Source organism: Homo sapiens, chromosome 19 (genome assembly GCF_000001405.40).
Source record: "Homo sapiens chromosome 19, GRCh38.p14 Primary Assembly".
Taxonomy (NCBI): Eukaryota; Metazoa; Chordata; class Mammalia; order Primates; family Hominidae; genus Homo; species Homo sapiens.
The window spans coordinates 50,133,912-50,151,794 of NC_000019.10; the positions used below are offsets into that span (position 1 = coordinate 50,133,912).

Consider the following 17,883-nt stretch of genomic DNA (forward strand, 5'->3'; position numbering starts at 1 on the left):
AGCCAATCACCAGAGGCTCACCCCTGACGTCACCCAGTCCCCAGGGCCAGTGAGGGCCCTGCGTTCCATGGCGCCCCCTGGAGGGAGGAAGGGGAACTGTAGCTGAGAGTTCAGTATCTGACAATAAGGAAAAGGCATAGTAGATCAGATGGTGCCTAGTGTTCTGGAGAGAAGAAACAACGGGGTTGGCGAATTGGCAGTTGCACTTTATAATACAGGCCTCATGTATAAGGCAGACCTCATGGGGAAGGTAACATCTGTGCAGAGAAATGGAGATGAGGGCTAGGAGCCATGCAAATACTGGAACATGCTTGCCAGCAGAAGTCGAGAAACATGGCCGGCACAGTGGCCCACACCTGTAATCCCAGGACTTTGGGAGGCCGAGGCAGGTAGATCACGAGGTCAGCAGTTCGAGACCAGCCTGGCCAACATGGTGAAACACTGTCTCTACAAAAATACAAAAATTAGCTGGGTGTGGTGGCACACGCCTATAATCCCAGTCACTTGGGAGGGTGAGGTAGGAGAATCGCTTGAACCTGGGAGGTAGAGGTTGCAGTGATGCAGTGAGCTGAGACCACGCCATTGTACTCTAGCCTGGGCGACAGAGCGAGACTCCATCTCAAAAAAAAAAAAAAAAAAAAAAAAGCAAAAACAAACAGGTGACATTCATTTTGATAAAATAGCTGATTTAACCTAATATACCTAAAACATCATAATTTTAACATAATCAATAGAAACATTTTTGCAAGATTTTATGTTATTTTTTTACCATACGACGTCTTGGAAATCTTGGTTTGGACCAGCCATGTTCAACTGCTCAGTAGCCATGTGTGGCCAGAGGCGGCCGTATTGGACAGTGCAGATGGTGCATGAGGGTGTTCGGGCAGTGGGAACAGCCAGTACAGAGGCCCTGTGGGGGCACATGCCTGCTGCTACGGGAACAGTGAGGAGCCCCGTGTGGCTGCAGTGGAGTGAGAGGGAGAAGGTGGGAGATGTCACCAACGGTCTCATCATTCATTCATTAAATCCTTTTTTTTTTTTTTTTTTTTTTTTGAGACTGAGTTTCGTTCTTGTTTCCCAGGCTGGAGTGCAATGGTGCCATCTCGGCTCACCACAACCTCCACCTCTTGAGTTCAAGCGATTCTCCTGCCTCACCCTCCCGAGTAGCTGGGATTACAGGCATGCGTCACCATGCCCGGCTAATTTTGTATTTTTAGTAGAGCTGGGGTTTCTCTCTGTTGGTCAGGCTGGTCTCGAACTCCCGACCTCAGGTGATCTGCCCGCCTTGACCTCCCAAAGTGCTGTGATTACAGGCTTGAGCCACTGCTCCTGGTCCATTGAATGTGTGTATATATAGTTGAATAAAGAAGAGACTGGAGTTTGTTCTGTATCTTCTCCTTTCAAATTCTGCGCCAGTTGAATTTTTTCCTCTTCCTTTTATATATTTTTAATTGACAAATTGTACATATTTATCATGTACATATTGTTTTGAAATATGTATATACCGTAGAATGGCTAAATCAAGATCATTAACATATGTATTACTTTACCTATTTTCCTTTTTTCGTTGTGTCTCTGCCAGGTTTCGGTATCAGAATGACTCTGACTTCATAGAATGAGTTAGAGAGCAGTTGCTCCTCCTCAATTGTGTGGAATAATTTCAGTAGGATTGGTGCCGGCTTTTCTTTACACATCTGGTAGAATTCGACTGTGAATCCGTCTAGTCTAAGGTTTTTTGTGCTGGTTGGTAGGTCTTGTATGACTAACTCAATTTTGGAACTCATCGTTGGTTTGTTCAGGGTTTCCATTTCTTCCTGGTTCAATCTTGAGAGGTTTTATGTTTCCAGGAATTTATCTATTTCTTCTAGTTTTCTAGTTTGTGTGCATAGAGGCATGTGGAATAGTCTCAGGGTTTCTTGTATGTCTGTGGGTCAGTGGTAATGTCACCTCTGTCATTTCTGATTGTGTTTATTTGGATCTTGTCTTTTTTCCTTTATTAATCTAGCTAGTGGTCTTTCCATGTTATTTGTGCTTTCGAAAATATCAACTTTGTATGAATTAACAGCATTTGCCGTGACCTGGATGAGACCGGAGACTATTATTCTAAGTGAAGTAACTCAGGAATGGAAAGCCAAACATCGTATGTTCTCACTGATATGTGGGAGCTAAGCTATGAGGACGCAAAGGCGTAACAATGATACAATGGACTTTGGGGACGTAGGGGGACGAGTTGGCGGGGGCGAGGGATAACAGACAACAAATAGGGTGTAGTGTATACTGCTCAGGTGATGGGTGCACCAAAATCACAAATCACCACTAAAGAGCTTATGTTACCAAATACCACCTGTACCCCATAATTTATGGAAGAAATAATAAATAAATAATTTTTTTAAAAAATCAACTTTGGGTTTCATTGATCTTTTCTATGATTTTTTACATCTCAATTTCATTCAGCTCAGCTCTGATTTTGGTGTTTTTTTTTCTTCTGCTAGCTTTGGGGTTGATTTGCTCTTGTTTTTCTAATTCCTCTAGGTGTGATGTTAGGCTGTTCATTTGAGATCTTTCTAGCTTCTTGATGTAGCCACTTAGCACTATAAACTTCCTTTGAGCACTGTTCTAGCTGTGTCCCAGAGATTCTGGGATGTTGTATGTTTGTTTTCATTAGTTTCAAATAATTTTTTTATTTCTGCCTTAATTTCAGTCTTTACCCAAAAGTCATTTGGAAGCAGGTTGTTTAATTTCCATGTTGACTCTAGGCCGGGCATGGTGGCTCATGCCTGTAATCCCAGCCACTTGGGAGGCTGAGGCAGGAGAATCGCTTGACTCCAGGAGGCAGAGGTGTCAGTGAGCCAAGATCACGCCACTGCACTCCAGCCCGGGCAACAGAGTGAGGCTGCGAGCCCGGGCGGCAGAGTGAGGCTGCGTCTCAAAAAAAAAAAAAAAAAAAAAAAATTGCCCCTTCTTAAGTTTGCATTTAGATCTCTTCTCCTTTGATCACTTTTAATTTATCTTCACTTCTGATATGACATTTTATTTTTTATTCATTTTCTGCCTGTTTATTATTGTTCCTCTTTTAACTTAAAAAAAAAAACATGTCTGTACTTTATGAATTTCTGTTTCAAGGTGTTTTTCCCATCTCCAAATGCTTACTTGAAAATATTTCCTTTCCTCTTGGTTCATTTCTTCTGGTGTGTGTGTGCGCACGCCCGCGTGCATGTGTGTACTCGGGTCTCATTTTCTGCTTTCTTCCTGCAGTACCTCGTTTATGGGAGATCCACTTCGCTTTTGTTATTTTTTTAGTAGAGAGGGGGTTTCACTGGTTTAGCCAGAACAGTCTCGATCTCCTGACCTCGTGATCCGCCCACCTCGGGCTCCCAAAGTGCTGGGATTCCAGGAGTGAGCCACCGCGCCCGGCCGTCCACTTTGCTTCTTGCAGAGGCTGATGGTTTGAGTAATTTCCGAGATTCATAGCTCGAGCGCGCCCTGTTCTGTCTATGCAGTGAAGGGCAGCTTTTTGCATCCACGGCTTTTTGTTGGCAAGGAGGAATGTGCAGTGGCCAGATTTGTTTCTTCCCCTTTTGTTGCTGTTGTTGTTGTTGTATTTTATTTTGTAGCATCCTAAAGTGTCCCCTCCTTCTATTTCTTATCCTTATCCAGGTAGGGTTTAGAAAAGCTAACTTCAGGGGCAGGGGAGAGAGAGAAAGAGAGGAAGAGAAAATGAGAATGAATGACAATACATGAACCCATGGGTCAACCTTTATTTCAAGGCAGCCCAAAAGGACGGCTCTCCCTTCTCTTTCACTCTCTTCTCTGCGTGTGAAGCTGATGCAGCACAGGCGAGCCCCAAAATTGAGGCTTAGCCCGGGGGGGTTCTTGGCTTCTCCTAGAAACTAATTCAAGAAGCCGGGCGCAGTGGCTCACGCCTGTAATCCCAGCACTTTGGGAGGCTGAGGCGGATGGATCACTTGAGGTAAGGAGTTCGAGACCAGCCTGGCCAACATGGTGAAACCCCATCTCTACTAAATATACAAAAATTACCCGGGCATGGGGACGGGTGCCTGTAATCCCAGCTATTCAGGAGGCTGAGGCAGGGGAACCGCTTGAACCCGGGAGGCGGAGGTTGCAGTGAGCAGAGATCGTGTCACTGCACTCCAGCCTGGGTGATAGAGTGAGGCTGAGAATCAAAAGAAGAAAAAAAAAAAAAAAAAACAATTCAAGGGCAGGCCGGTGGTTTTAGACGGCAACTTTTACTGAAGCGTCAGTGCACAGCCACAGCAGAGGGACACACACCTGTATCTTTTCTAAGACTGGGAGAATTTTACAATTGCTTGAATAATTGAACAGTGCCTCGAGGATGTTACACTAGGTTATAAATAAATTCCTGCCGTGTTTAGCTGAGGCACGAACACAATGCCCACTGACAATTCCACTTTCCTCGAGGGCCATTCTTTATGAAAGGCTGTAGGAGTTCCACGACATTGTTGATTCCTGGATTCTCCAAGTCTCTAGAACTTGAGAACTACTTTTGTGTATTTTTTTAACCTTTAAGTCCAGAGTTTCTAATGTCCGTTTTATACTACTATAAAATGGTACTATGTATTCTTTATTTATGGTACTATTTACACTTTATTTTATACAGACTCTGGCTCCACAAAAAGGTTAAAAATTAGCCAGGTGCAGTGGTGCACATCTGCGGCCCCAGCTACTCAGGAGGCTGAGGCAGAAGGATTGCTTGAGCTCGGATGGTCAGGGCTGCAATGAGCTATGATCACACATCACATCAATGCACTCCAGCCTGGGCAACAGAGTGAGACCCTGTCTCTAAAAGAATAGAAGAGGCTGGGCGCGGTGGCTCACGCCTGTCATCCTACCACTTTGGGAGACCAAGGCGAGTGGATCATTTGAGGCCAGGTGTTCAAGACCAGCCTGGTCAACATGGCGAAACCCCATCTCTTGGCAGGCGACTGTAATCCCAGCTACTCAGGAGGCTGAGATAGGAGACTCCCTTGAACCGACGAGGCAGAGGTTGCAGTGAGCCAAGATCACACCACTGCACTCCAGCCTGGGCAACAGAGCAAGCCTCGGTCTCCCAAAAAAAAAAAAAAAAGAAAGATACATTGAAGTAATTTAAAAACACTTAGGAAGATGTCATTTCTTCCTATCAAGGCGTCCTCCCTTTCTGTTTTGTTGTTATATTGGGAACGATAAAAAAATTTTTTTTTCAACCCATGTGGACCAGGTTGGCCTCGAACTCGTGCCCTCGAACCCTCGCCTACCCTGAGGGTCCGAGGGCCCGCGCAACCGGCCGGAGCCACAATGGCTCCGGGTGTCGGGGCTGTCCTGTAGGCCCTTTGATCTTACGCAGGGTGAGGGAGCCAATCACCAGAGGCTCCCCCCTGTCGTCACCCAGTCCCCAGGGCCAGTGAGGGCCCTGCGTTCCATGGCGCCCCCTGGAGGGAGGAAGGGGAACTGTAGCTGAGAGTTCAGTATCTGACAATAAGGAAAAGGCATAGTAGATCAGATGGTGCCTAGTGTTCTGGAGAGAAGAAACAACGGGGTTGGCGAATTGGCAGTTGCACTTTATAATACAGGCCTCATGTATAAGGCAGACCTCATGGGGAAGGTAACATCTGTGCAGAGAAATGGAGATGAGGGCTAGGAGCCATGCAAATACTGGAACATGCTTGCCAGCAGAAGTCGAGAAACATGGCCGGCACAGTGGCCCACACCTGTAATCCCAGCACTTTGGGAGGCCGAGGCAGGCAGATCACGAGGTCAGCAGTTCGAGACCAGCCTGGCCAACATGGTGAAACCCTGTCTCTACTAAAAATACAAAAATTAGCTGGGTGTGGTGGCACACTCCTGTAATCCCAGCCACTTGGGAGGGTGAGGTAGGAGAATGGCTTGAACCTGGGAGGTAGAGGTTGCAGTGATGCAGTGAGCTGAGACCACACCATTGTACTCTAGCCTGGGCGACAGAGCGAGACTCCATCTCAAAAAAAAAAAAAAAAAAAAGCAAAAACAAACAGGTGAGATTCATTTTGATAAAATAGCTGATTTAACCTAATATACCTAAAACATCATAATTTTAACATAATATAAACATTTTTGCAAGATTTTATGTTATTTTTTACCATACGACGTCTTGGAAATCAAGAAACAGAGCAAGCCTCGGTCTCCCAAAAAAAAAAAAAAGATACATTGAAGTAATTTAAAAACACATAGGAAGATGTCATTTCTTCCTATCAAGGCGTCCTCCCTTTATGTTTTGTTGTTATATTGGGAACGATAAAAAAATTTTTTTTTCAACCCATGTGGACCAGGTTGGCCTTGAACTCGTACCCTCGAACCCCTGCCTCCCTGAGGGCCCGAGGGCAGGCGCATCCAGCCGGAGCCACAGTGGCTCCGGGTGTCGGGGCTGTCCTTTCTTCCCTTTCTCCCTCTCGTCTCCTGTCTCCCGTCTCCCTCTCCCCACGGTCTCCCTCTCCCTCTCCCTCTCCTGTCTCCCGTCTCCCGTCTCCCTCTCCACATGGTCTCCCTCTCCCTCTCTTTCCACGGTCTCCGTCTGATGCCCAGCCGAAGCTGCACTGTACTGCTGCCATCTCACTGCATCCTCCCTGCCTGATTCTCGTGCCTCAGCCTGCCGAGTGCCTGCCATTGCAGGCACACGCCGCCACACCTGACTGGTTTTCGTATTTTTTTGGTGGAGACGGGGTTTCGCTGTGTTGGCCGGGCTGGTCTCCAGCTCCTAACTGCGAGTGATCCGCCAGCCTCGGCCTCCCCAGGTGCGGGGATTGCAGATGGAGTCTCGTTCACTCAGTGCTCAATGGTGCCCAGGCTGGAGTGCAGTGGCGTGATCTCGGCTCGCTACAACCTCCACCTCCCAGCCGCCTGCCTTGGCCTCCCAAAGTGCCGAGATTGCAGCCTCTGCCCGGCCGCCACCCCGTCTGGGAAGTGAGGAGCGTCTCTGCCTGGCCGCCCATCGTCTGGGATGTGAGGAATCCCTCTGCCTGGCTGCCCAGTCTGGAAAGTGAGGAGCGTCTCTGCCCGGCCGCCATCCCATCTAGGAAGTGAGGAGCGCCTCTGCCCGGCCGCGACCCTGTCTGGGAGGTGAGGAGCGTCTCTGCCCAGCCGCCCCGTCTGAGAAGTGAGGAGCCCCTCTGCCCGGCAGCCGCCCCGTCTGAGAAGTGAGGAGCCCCTCCGCCCGGCAGCCACCCCATCTGGGAAGTGAGGAGCGTCTCCGCCCGGCAGCCACCCCGTCCGGGAGGGAGGTGGGGGGGGGGTGGTCAGCCCCCCGCCCGGCCAGCCGCCCCGTCCGGGAGGGAGGTGGGGGGGTCAGCCCCCTGCCCGTCCAGCCGCCCCGTCCGGGAGGTGAGGGGCGCCTCTGCCTGGCCGCCCCTACTGGGAAGTGAGGGGCCCCTCTGCCCGGCCACCACCCCGTCTGGGAGGTGTACCCAACAGCTCATTGAGAACGGGCCATGATGACAATGGCGGTTTTGTGGAATAGAAAGGGGGGAAAGGTGGGGAAAAGATTAAGAAATCGCATGGTTGCCGTGTCTGTGTAGAAAGAAGTAGACATGGGAGACTTTTCATTTTGTTCTGTACTAAGAAAAATTCTTCTGCCTTGGGATCCTGTTGATCTGTGACCTTACCCCCAACCGTGTGCTCTCTCAAACATGTGCTGTGTCCACTCAGGGTTAAATGGATTAAGGGCGGAGCAAGATGTGCTTTGTTAAACAGATGCTTGAAGGCAGCATGCTCCTTAAGAGTCATCACCACTCCCTAATCGCAAGTTCCCAGGGACACAAACACTGCGGAAGGCCACAGGGTCCTCTGCCTAGGAAAACCAGAGACCTTTGTTCACTTGTTTATCTGCTGACCTTCCCTCCACTATTGTCCTATGACCCTGCCAAATCCCCCTCTGCGAGAAACACCCAAGAATGATTAAAAAAAAAAAAGAAAGTGTTAATGACAGATTTGCCTCCATTAAAAGCCAAGAAAGTCAAATTATTCAAATTCTGTCTAGGGTATATATGAAAGATTTAAATGTAAAATAATGTTGTGAATTTCAACACATTTACTTCATTTTTCAGTATTTTTCAACTAGTTTAGCATTCCAGGAAAAATAAATTTAGAAAAAATATATAAAAACTTGCGCAGGGCACAGTGGCTCATGCCTGTAATCCCAGCACAGGCCTTTGGGAGGCCAAGGTGGGTGGATCACTTGAGCCTGGGAGTTTAAGACTAGCCTGAGCAACATGGGGAGAGCCTGTCTCTACAAAAATAATTTAGGAATTAGCTAGGCATGGTAGTGTGTGCTTGTAGTCCCAGCTACTCAGGAGGCTGAGGCAGGAGGATCCCTTGAGCCCAGGAGTTTGTTACTGCAGTGAGCTATGATCTCACCACCACACTCCAGCCTGGGCAATGGAGCAAGAACCCCTCTCCTTAAAAAAAAAAAAAGCAAGTATATGGGGGCACATACATTTCCTTTGAAATAGCAGTCTGATGTGGCATGAGACTGGCCTTTTTAAAAAATTTGATATTTTGTTCATCATTGATTTTTTTTGCATTGATTTTGATTTTTAAAAAATGTTGCATTATTATTGTTATTGTTATTATTGTCACTCTGTCACCCAGGCTGGAGTGCAGAGTCTCCCTGAGTTCAAGTGATTCTCCTGCTTCAGCCTCCCAAGTAGCTGGAACTACAGGCGTGTGCCACCTCACCCTAATTTTATTTTTTATTTTTATTTTTTTTGTAGAGACAGGGTTTCGCCATGTTGGCCAGGCTGGTCTCAAACTTCCGACCTCAAGTGATCCACCCACCTTGGGCTCCCAAAGTGCTGGGATTACAGGCGTGAACCACCGCGCCTGGCCAATATTGCATTAAATATTCTTTTATCTTGATTGCTGCATTTGGGGCACACATTTACATTTGGTACTGGGTGAATACAGCTCCCTCTGGCCAGGCTCCAGCCAGCCCCACTCCTCCAGGGTGAAGTCCACCGCCACATCCTTGAAGGTCACTGATTCCTGCAAGGGCCAGTTTCATTCTGTGGAGTGGCACGTCCTTCTGGAACTTGGGGGCAGAAGTGTCAGGGGTCAAGAGCCCACAACAGCCCCCTGGGCTGGAACATTCTGATTGTGCAGAATTGGGATGCCTGAATCCAACTGGCCTATGGGAACCTATCTAAGGCAGAAACTCGCCCATAGGCACCTTGGTAGAAAGTAGAACAAGGAGCCCTTTCACATGACTCTTTACTGCCATCTGTTGGGAAGTCATTGTAATATACCAATTAATTTAGTATATGACAGTTTATCAAACTGCCTGCAAACTGCCACCAATGTATGAGGTATAAGGTGGGAGTCCTGCCTGGGATGAGGCACACTTGTGCAGTGCATAACCTGCACAGCTCTAAGTGACAGCCCTAAAAAATGCTTTTTTTTTGAGATGGAGTCTCGCTCTATCCCCCAGGCTGGAGTGCAGTGGCGCAATCTCGGCTCACTGCAAGCTCCACCTCCCGGGTTCACGCCATTCTCCTGCCTCAGCCTCCCGAGTAGCTGGGACCACAGGCGCCCGCCACCACGCCCGGCTAATTTTTTGTATTTTTAGTAGAGACGGGGTTTCAACGTATTAGCCAGGATGGTCTCGATCTGACCTCGTGATCCGCCTGCCTCAGCCTCCCAAAGTGCTGGGATTACAGGCATGAGCCACCGCGCTCAGCCTAAGAAACACTTAAAGAAAAATCCGTCAAGCCGTTTTGTGCAGGAGATATTCGCAAGTCCCATTCTATCCCAGACCCCATCCCTGATCCTCACCCCCATTCCTGACTCCAGAGATGAGGCTCAGGGATGAAGCAAAACCATCCATTGCCCACTTTGCCTGGTAACTGAAAGGCTGCAGTGTTCGATGAAAAATGTTTAGACTGCGCGACATGGTCCCAGCTCAGAGCATTCTGCCTCTGCCTCCTGCCCCTGGGCACTGCCCGGCTCCCCTCTCCTCATACCCCCTTTCCCAGTATTGGAAGAGTCAGGAGACCTTGAGATCATGCACAGGGATGAAGAGGGCCCACTGGAGTCCACAAAGTTATCCTGGGGAAGAGGAAGCCCAGACTCACCTGGCCCTCGGCCATCAAGGTCCCATTGGCCATTGCTGGGTTCTGGGCATGTGCCTCTGGGAGAAGGGTTCACGCCAGGGCCCGAAGAGCTGGAGGAGGAGACCACAGCAGAAAAAGGGTCATTTGTGACCCTGACAGACAGATGCTTTCCCCAAGACTCCTGGTCACGGAAGGGGCCATGGTCCCCTAAGAGTCAAAGCAAAGTCCCAGGACAGGCCACCTGAGGCCCCCATTCCATACCAGTGACAACAGCCAGCAACCATGAGGCTGTCTCACCTCCCCGACACAACAGCTCTCGGACGTGGGAACGATGGTTACCCCTAGATGAGGACATTGAGGCACAAGAGGTCAAGACTTGCTCAAGTTCATGGAGACAAAAAGTTTCAGAGAAGTCTAGCCACAGGGCCACCCCTATCTTTTATATATATATATATATATATTGTTTTTTTTTTTTTTAGATGGATTCTCACTCAGTGTCCCAGGCTGGCTGGAGTGCAGTGGCGCCATCTCGGCTCACTGCAACCTCCGCCTCCCAGGATCAAGCAATTCTCTTGCCTCAGCTTCCTGAATAGCTGGGATTACAAGCACCTGCCACCATGCCTGGCTAATATTTACATTTTTAGTAGAGATGGGGTTTCACCATGTTGGCAAGGCTGGTCTCGAACTCCTGACCTCAGGTGATCTACCCACCTCGGGCTCCAAAATTGCTGGGATTTTAGGCCTGAGCCACTGTGCCTGGGCCAGGGGTTCTTATTTATTTATATAATTTATTATTTTTTAATAATACAGACAGGGTCTCTCTATGTTGCCCAGGCTGGTCGCGTACTCCTGGGCTCAAGCAATCCTCCCACCTCGGCCTCCCAAAGTGCTGGGATTACAGGCATGAGCCACCACACCCAGCCTTGGCAAAGATTCTTAAAACTTTATTCCATAAACTGGGACTTCCTGCCTGGTGGGGTAGACAGGCTGTATAACAGCCCCCAGAGATATCCCTGGAACCTACAGATCTTATCTTATATGGAAAAGAGACTTTGCGGAAGGGATTAAGTGAAGGATCTTTAGATGGGGGGAATTATCCTGGATTATCTGGGCGGGCACTAAATGCCTTCACAAGTGTCCTTATAAGAGGGGGCAGAGGAGAGTCTGACACAGGGCAGAAGAAGGCCATGCACCAGAAGCAGAGAGCAGCAGAGGCTGAGAGAGAGGACGCTACACTGCTGGCTTTGATGACAGAGGAAAGGGCTACAAGCCAAGGAAAGCAGGCCCCTGGAAACTGGCAACGAGGCAGCGAAACAGATCCATCCCTGGAGCCTCTGGAGGGAGCATGGCCGTGCTGACCCCTTGATCCCTTTGAATCCCGCTTCCAACTTCTGGCCTCCAGGATTGTAATATAATAAAATTGTGTCATTTTAAGTGTGTGGCAATTTGTTACAGCACCATGGGAAACTAATACAGTCCACAGAATGAAAAGATGCAGCACCTCACACACATTTCCCAGGCGAGAAGCCATACACATCCCCGGCTACACAGAACACACACACCTGAATGCTGAAACTAGTGCATGAGGTGTTTTTTTTTTTTGAGACAGAGTCTCTATCTGTTGCCCAGGCTGGAGTGCAATGGCGTGATCTCGGCTTACTGCAAGCTCCACCTCCCAGGTTCACACCATTCTCCTGCCTCAGCCTCCTGAGTAGCTGGGACTACAGGAACCTGCCATCACTCCTGGCTAATTTTTTTTTTTTTTAGGAGAGACAGGGTTTCACCATGTTAGCCAGGATGGTCTCAATCTCCTGACCTCATGATTCACCTGCTTCAGCCTCCCAAATTGCTGGGATTACAGGTGTGAGCCACCACACCTGGCCTAGTGCACGAGGTTTTGATGAGAAAATGAGGAAGAGAGTCTTAACTTTATCCCCATGAATCACTTGTTAATTACAAAAAGAACAGGGTAACTTTTTTATCTTATTTAAATAATTAATTTATTAATTTGGAGACAGGGTTTCGCTCTTGTTGCCCAGGCTGGAGTGCAGTGACTCAATCTCAGCTCACTGCAACCTCCACTTCCTGGGTTCACACAATTCTCCTGCCTCAGCCTCCCGAATAGCTGGGATTACAGGTATCCACCATGACACCTGGCTAATTTTTTGTATTTTTAGTAGAGATGGGGTTTCACCATGTTGGCCAGACTGGTCTCGAACTCCTGACCTCAGGTGATCCACCCGCCTCAGCCTCCCAAAGTGCTGGGATTACAGGCGTGAGCCACCACACCTGGCCTTATTTTATTTTTGAGACAGAGTCTTGCTCTGTCACCCAGGCTGGAGTGCAGTGAGGCGATCTTGGTTCACTGAAACTTCCACCTCCCGGGTTTCAAGTGATTCTCAGGCCTCAGCTTCCTGAGTAGCTGGGGTTACAGGAGCCCGCCACCACGCCCAGCTGATTTTTGTATTATTATTATTATTATTATTATTTGAGATGGAGTCTCGCTCTGCCACCTAGGCTGGAGTGCAGTGGCGTGATCTCGGCTCACTGCAACCTCCACCTCCCAGCTTCAAGCGATTCTCCTGCCTCAGCCTCCCAAGTAGCTGGGATTACAGGTGTGTGCCACCACACCAGGCTAATTTTTTTGTATTTTTAGTAGAGATGGGGTTTCACCATGTTGGCCAGGCTGGTCTCGAACTCCTGACCTGGGGTTATCCGCCCCCCTCGGCCTCCCAAAGTGCTGGGATTACAGGTGTGAGCCACCGCGCCCAGACCAGGGAAACTAGAGAGGAGAAACTTGGCAGATGCCACCTTACCCATGTGAGTGAGGCTGATGTGGTGTGTGGTGGGACAAGCCGAGCCCAGGGTCCCCAGTCTGATGAGGAGACAGCATCACTCCTAGGGCATCCCTGCCAAAAGCGTGTGACCTAAATCTAACTATGAAGAAGCACCAGACAAACCCAAACTGAGGGACATGCAAGTACATGGTCTGTAATCTTCGGAACTTCCAAAAGAAGACTGAAAACCGGTTCCAGACTGAAGGAGACCCAACAAAGCGAGCAATGTGTGACCTAGGATTTCCTTTGGCCATTAAGGACATTATTGGAGCCAGCTGTAATCCCAGCACTTTGGGAGGCTGAGGTGGGAGGATCGCTTGAGCCCAAGAGTTTGAGACCAGCCCGGGCAACACAGTGAGACCCCGTTTCTACAAAAAAAAATTAAAAAAATTAGCCGGGCATGGTGGTGTGTGCTTGTAATCCCGACTACTCAGAAGACTGAAGTGGGAGGATCTCTTGAGCCCAGGAGGTCGAGGCTGCATGAGCTATGATTGTGCCACTGCACTCCAGCCTGGGTGACAGAGCAAGACTCTGTCTCCAAAAAAAGAAAAAGAAAAAGAAAGACAAAAAGACATTATTGGAAGAATCATCAAAAATTTGAATAAAGTCTATAGATTAGCTATTAGTATTACATCAATATTAATTTCCTCATTGTGATCGTGGTGCTATGGTTATGTAAGAAAATGACCTTGTCTTTGGAAAACACAGAGATTCGCTAGAAGGACTGGGGAGTGGGAGGGCGCAGAGACCGAGAGAGGGCGACAGAGACCCACAGAGAGGGGGAGAGAGACGCAGAGAGAGGGGGTACAGAGACCCAGCGAGAGGGGGACAGGACCTGGGGCGGCGAGGGTGAGGGGAAGATCAGAGAGAGCTGGGAGACCCAGAGAGGGAAGAACAGATGCTCAGGATAAGGGGAGCCGAGACCGAGTCTGTGCCTGTGCAGTGCTGCTTTCGGGTTCTGGGGTCAGAATCTGGGTTGCAGCTCTGCCAGCCTGAGAGAAATCGCGGAGTCTCCCCGACTCTCAGTTTCTTCAACTGCAAAGTGAGGAAAGGTAGGTTCCCCTTCCTAGGGATCGCAGCAGTCCCACGCTCCGCCGGACTCCTGGCAAACAGCAGACGCCCAATTCCTGCGCGCCGAGTCGTCTGAGCCGCACTGATACTAGGTGGGACTCAGGGAATGACAAGAGGGGGCGGGGCGTCACCCACAGCGCCCTCCCCACTCCCAACCAGACCCAACTTGGGCCCGCCCCCGGAGCTTCTGCTAGCCTGTCTGGCCCGGCCTGCACCCACCTGCTCCGGTCGGGTCCGCGAGTTCCGTGCGTCCAGGCGGATTCCGCTGGACAGCCAGGCCTTCCCTTCCTCCGCCGGGTCCCGGAACGCGCCTGAGCAGTCCCTGTCTCGGAACTGTAAGTCCCGGTACCTTAAACGCGGCATCGCAGCTGGACTACATTTCCCAGAAACCATTGAGGCTCTTGCTCCTCCCGGCCTAAGGGCTCTGACTGCGAGGGAATGCTGGGAAATGGAGTCTGGGAGCAGGATACGGGGCAGGAGTAAGACTGTATTTAGATACATACACAACAGCTTTTGGAGGAAAACTGGTATTTGGGACATGCCTGACTGTACTGGCACGCGAATATCCCTGTTTTAGGCAGAGGCGATGCCATTGTCCATTTAATCCAAATTTCTCATACCATGGCTGAAGTCTTCAGGACAGATAAAATTTGGCCCTGTGTAAACTGATGGTGAATGAATTGAACCACTGTTACTCAATTTCCCTAGGCATCTGCCTTCCTATTTGCCTCAGTTTCACCCACCACTTCTTAAAGGGCAGTGTGATACAGGCAATGGAGCCTGTTCTGGGAGCTGGGAGATGTGTGTTCAGGAGTGTAAGGATGGTTTGATATTAGGACATTATGCAATTTATCTTTTGACCTTTCTGAATATATCAATATGCAAGCATATCTATAGATACACTAAAAAGACTTTTAATAACATCCAGTAACCCTAGATGCTGAGAAAGCTTACAAAAAAATTCTGTAACCAGTCATTTCTAGATAAGCTTAATAAATTAAGCATATATTCATATTGAACAACAATAGCGACAATGTTAAAGAATTACTGGCTTCTTATTGTGTTTATGTATGTCCATATAATCAAAACCTCATATCAAGCTTAATCGTAAAACACTAAAAGAATTGCCAGGCTGGGTGCAGTGGTTCACACCTGAAATCCCAGCACTTTGGGATTTCAAAGAGGGAAGCTAAAGAGGGAGGATCACTTGCACTCAGAAGTTTGAGACCAGCCTGGGCAACATAGCTAGACCCCCATCTCTACAGAAAATATAAAAGTTAGCCAAGCATAGTGGTGAGCACCTGTAGACCCAGCTACTCGGCAGGCTAAGGCAGGAGGATCAGTTGAGCCCAGGAGGGCAAGGCTGCAGTGAGCTGTGATGGTGCCAGCCTGGGCAAGAGAGCAAGACTCTGTCTCAAAAAAAAAAAAAAGTGTAAACCGTATATGTCCTCATGAGAAAAAGCTAGATGGCTCATTGCCAGAATGAAATAATAATAGGTGTTACTTATTGACAACACGTTGTGAGCTTTACTAGTTGACTGAGCTGACACCACCACCCTATGAAGAAGGCATTGCTCTCCCTATTTTACAGACAAGGACACTGAGATAGAGGATTTATGTCATCCCCCCAAGCTCCCAGAGCTAGTCGAGGACAGAGGCAGGACTTGAATCCAGGTTCAGCCCATATTTGCAACCACTTAATTTTACTGCTGCCAAGTTTGCTCCTTTTTCCTTGTGTTCCGATAACCAAATGCTCCAAGCACAGGTTGTACTGTCAGCTGAGGCTCTAGAGTCAGGGTGGCATGGAGCAGAACCTCAGCTAATCTATAATAGGCATGTCACACTGGAGACAAAGGTGACTCCATCTTGGATGGTTATCCGCCATGTTGACTTCTGATTAATCCCAGTCCTGGGAATTCCTTCTGATTTCTACTTTACTTACTGTCCCTAGTGTAAGAACATGTCAACCTTGATGTTATCACACAAATTATAGGCTACGACACAGCATACAGAACATTGCCTGTTCTGTAGGCTTAATTGTCTTAACCCTTAATTGTCTTGCTAAAGCAAGTATTGCCCTTCCCTATGTGAGATAAGCCTTAGGATTAGGGAGTAACTGTGTGGAGATAGACCTGTCTTGCTGCCACCCAAGACCATGCTTCCCTTTGTAAGTTCCCCAAATAAATCACCCCTTACCAATGAACTGGGTTTGTCTCCCTCTTTTTTGGTTTATTGTCTCCTTCCACACTTGGGGGTTATTTTGCATAAAGTCCTTATATGGAACACACGTGAACAAGGAGTAAGTCTTCATTGCTACAAGCCATGAAGGAGGTTGGGGGGGTGTTTGTTACTGAAGCATAACTACTTATCCTGGCTGATACAACTGTCTTCAAAGGTTTTGAGGAAGCTGAAATTTGATATTAAATACAAGTTATTATCAGAGCTTTGCAAGTCATTAACCTCTCTGTGCCTCAGTTTCCTCATTGTACATGGGGCGATAATAAGTACATGGGGCAATAATAAGTACCCTTTTTATCAGGTTATGAGATTTGAATAGGTAGATAGAAGTAAAGCCATTAGAACAGTATGTGACAGATAGAAAACACCATATAAGTGTTTGCTATTATTAAAAAACGCGTTAGGCCAGGCGCGGTGGCTCATGCCTATAATCCCAGCACTTTGGGAGGCCAAGGCAGGTGGATCACTTGAGGTCAGGAGTTCAAAACCAGCCTGGCCAATATGGTGAAACCCTGTGTCTACTAAAAATACAAAAAAATTAGCCGGACGTGGTGGCTGGGGCTTGTAATCTCAGCTACTCGGGAGGCTGAGGCAGGAGAATCACTTGACCCGGGAGGCAGAGGTTGTGGTGAGCCAAGATAGCACCACTGCACTCCAGCCTGTGAGACTCTGTCTCAAAAAATAAAAAACGTGTTAATAGTTCCCGCCGGTGACTTATATTTTTTCCTTATTTATTTATTTTTTGAGACGGAGTCTCACTCTGTTGCCAGGCTGGAGTGCAGTGGCATGATCTCGACTCACTGCAACCTCTGCCTCCCGGGTTCAAGCGATTTTCCTGCCTCAGCCTCCCAAGTAGCTGAGACTACAGGCGCCCGCCACCACACCCAGCTAATTTTTGTATTTTTAGTAGAGACGGGGTTTCACTGTGTTGGCCAGGATGGTCTCGATCTCTTGACCTCGTGATCCGCCCGCCTCGGCCTCCCAAAGTGCTGGGATTACAGGCGTGAGCCACTGCACCTGGCCCCAACTGTGACTTGCTATTTGCTCTTCCTTCTACCTTTTCCCCACTACTGCTTTCAGAAAACACCTACTTTTCTTGCAAGAACAAGTTCTTACAGCCTCTCCTGCAGTAAACGTTCTCCGATTTCCACCGAGCTGAGCCGGAGCTGGCAATTCGCTCTGTGGGGTTCCCACAGGAACATCCCAGTATCTTATAGGGTTATGTGCTAACCGCTGTGTTGTAATTCTTTGTAACTGTCTGTCTCTCTCGCTCCAGTCTCATCACACTATAATTTATGTACGACTTAATTATCTGTTTATTCTGCACTTCTCCCAGGAAATTTCCATGAAGTTGAGGAAGTGTCTGGACCTGCAGCATTAAGACGTTAAAACAAACAAACCCTGGCCAGGCGCGGTGGCTCACGCCTGTAATCCCAGCACTTTGCGAGGCTGAGGCTGGCGGATCACTTGAGGTCAGGAGTTCGAAACCAGCCTGGCCAACATAGTGAAACCCCGTCTCTACTAAAAATTCAAAAATTAAGCCGGGCGCGGTGGCTTACGCCCGTAATCCCAGCACTTTGGGAGGCCGAGGCAGACGCATCACAAGGTCAGGAGATCAAGACCATCCTGGCTAATACAGTGAA

General features: G+C 48.5%; 1 long non-coding RNA gene and 2 other non-coding genes across 3 annotated transcripts, besides 1 other annotated feature; all 3 read right to left on the minus strand.

The window, feature by feature from the left end:
- Window positions 1-3,085: 3,085 nt before the first annotated feature.
- Window positions 3,086-14,326, minus strand: LOC105372436 (uncharacterized). The gene is made up of 3 exons (XR_936021.4): window positions 14,222-14,326; window positions 10,116-10,204; window positions 3,086-3,677 (listed from the first exon to the last, which is right to left on the minus strand). It is a non-coding gene; the product is annotated as an uncharacterized LOC105372436 (long non-coding RNA).
- SNAR-B2 (small NF90 (ILF3) associated RNA B2) lies at window positions 5,207-5,326 on the minus strand. Its single transcript, NR_024230.1, has one exon. It is a non-coding gene; the product is annotated as a small NF90 (ILF3) associated RNA B2 (small nuclear RNA).
- Window positions 6,291-6,409, minus strand: SNAR-D (small NF90 (ILF3) associated RNA D). The gene has a single exon (NR_024243.1). It is a non-coding gene; the product is annotated as a small NF90 (ILF3) associated RNA D (small nuclear RNA).
- Window positions 13,673-13,772: a silencer, noted in NCBI's record as "silent region_10950". NCBI's record gives its function as "represses an Ori minimal core promoter by ATAC-STARR-seq in GM12878 lymphoblastoid cells {active_cell/tissue: GM12878}" and the evidence as "EXISTENCE:reporter gene assay evidence [ECO:0000049][PMID:35858748]".
- Window positions 14,327-17,883: the final 3,557 nt, after the last annotated feature.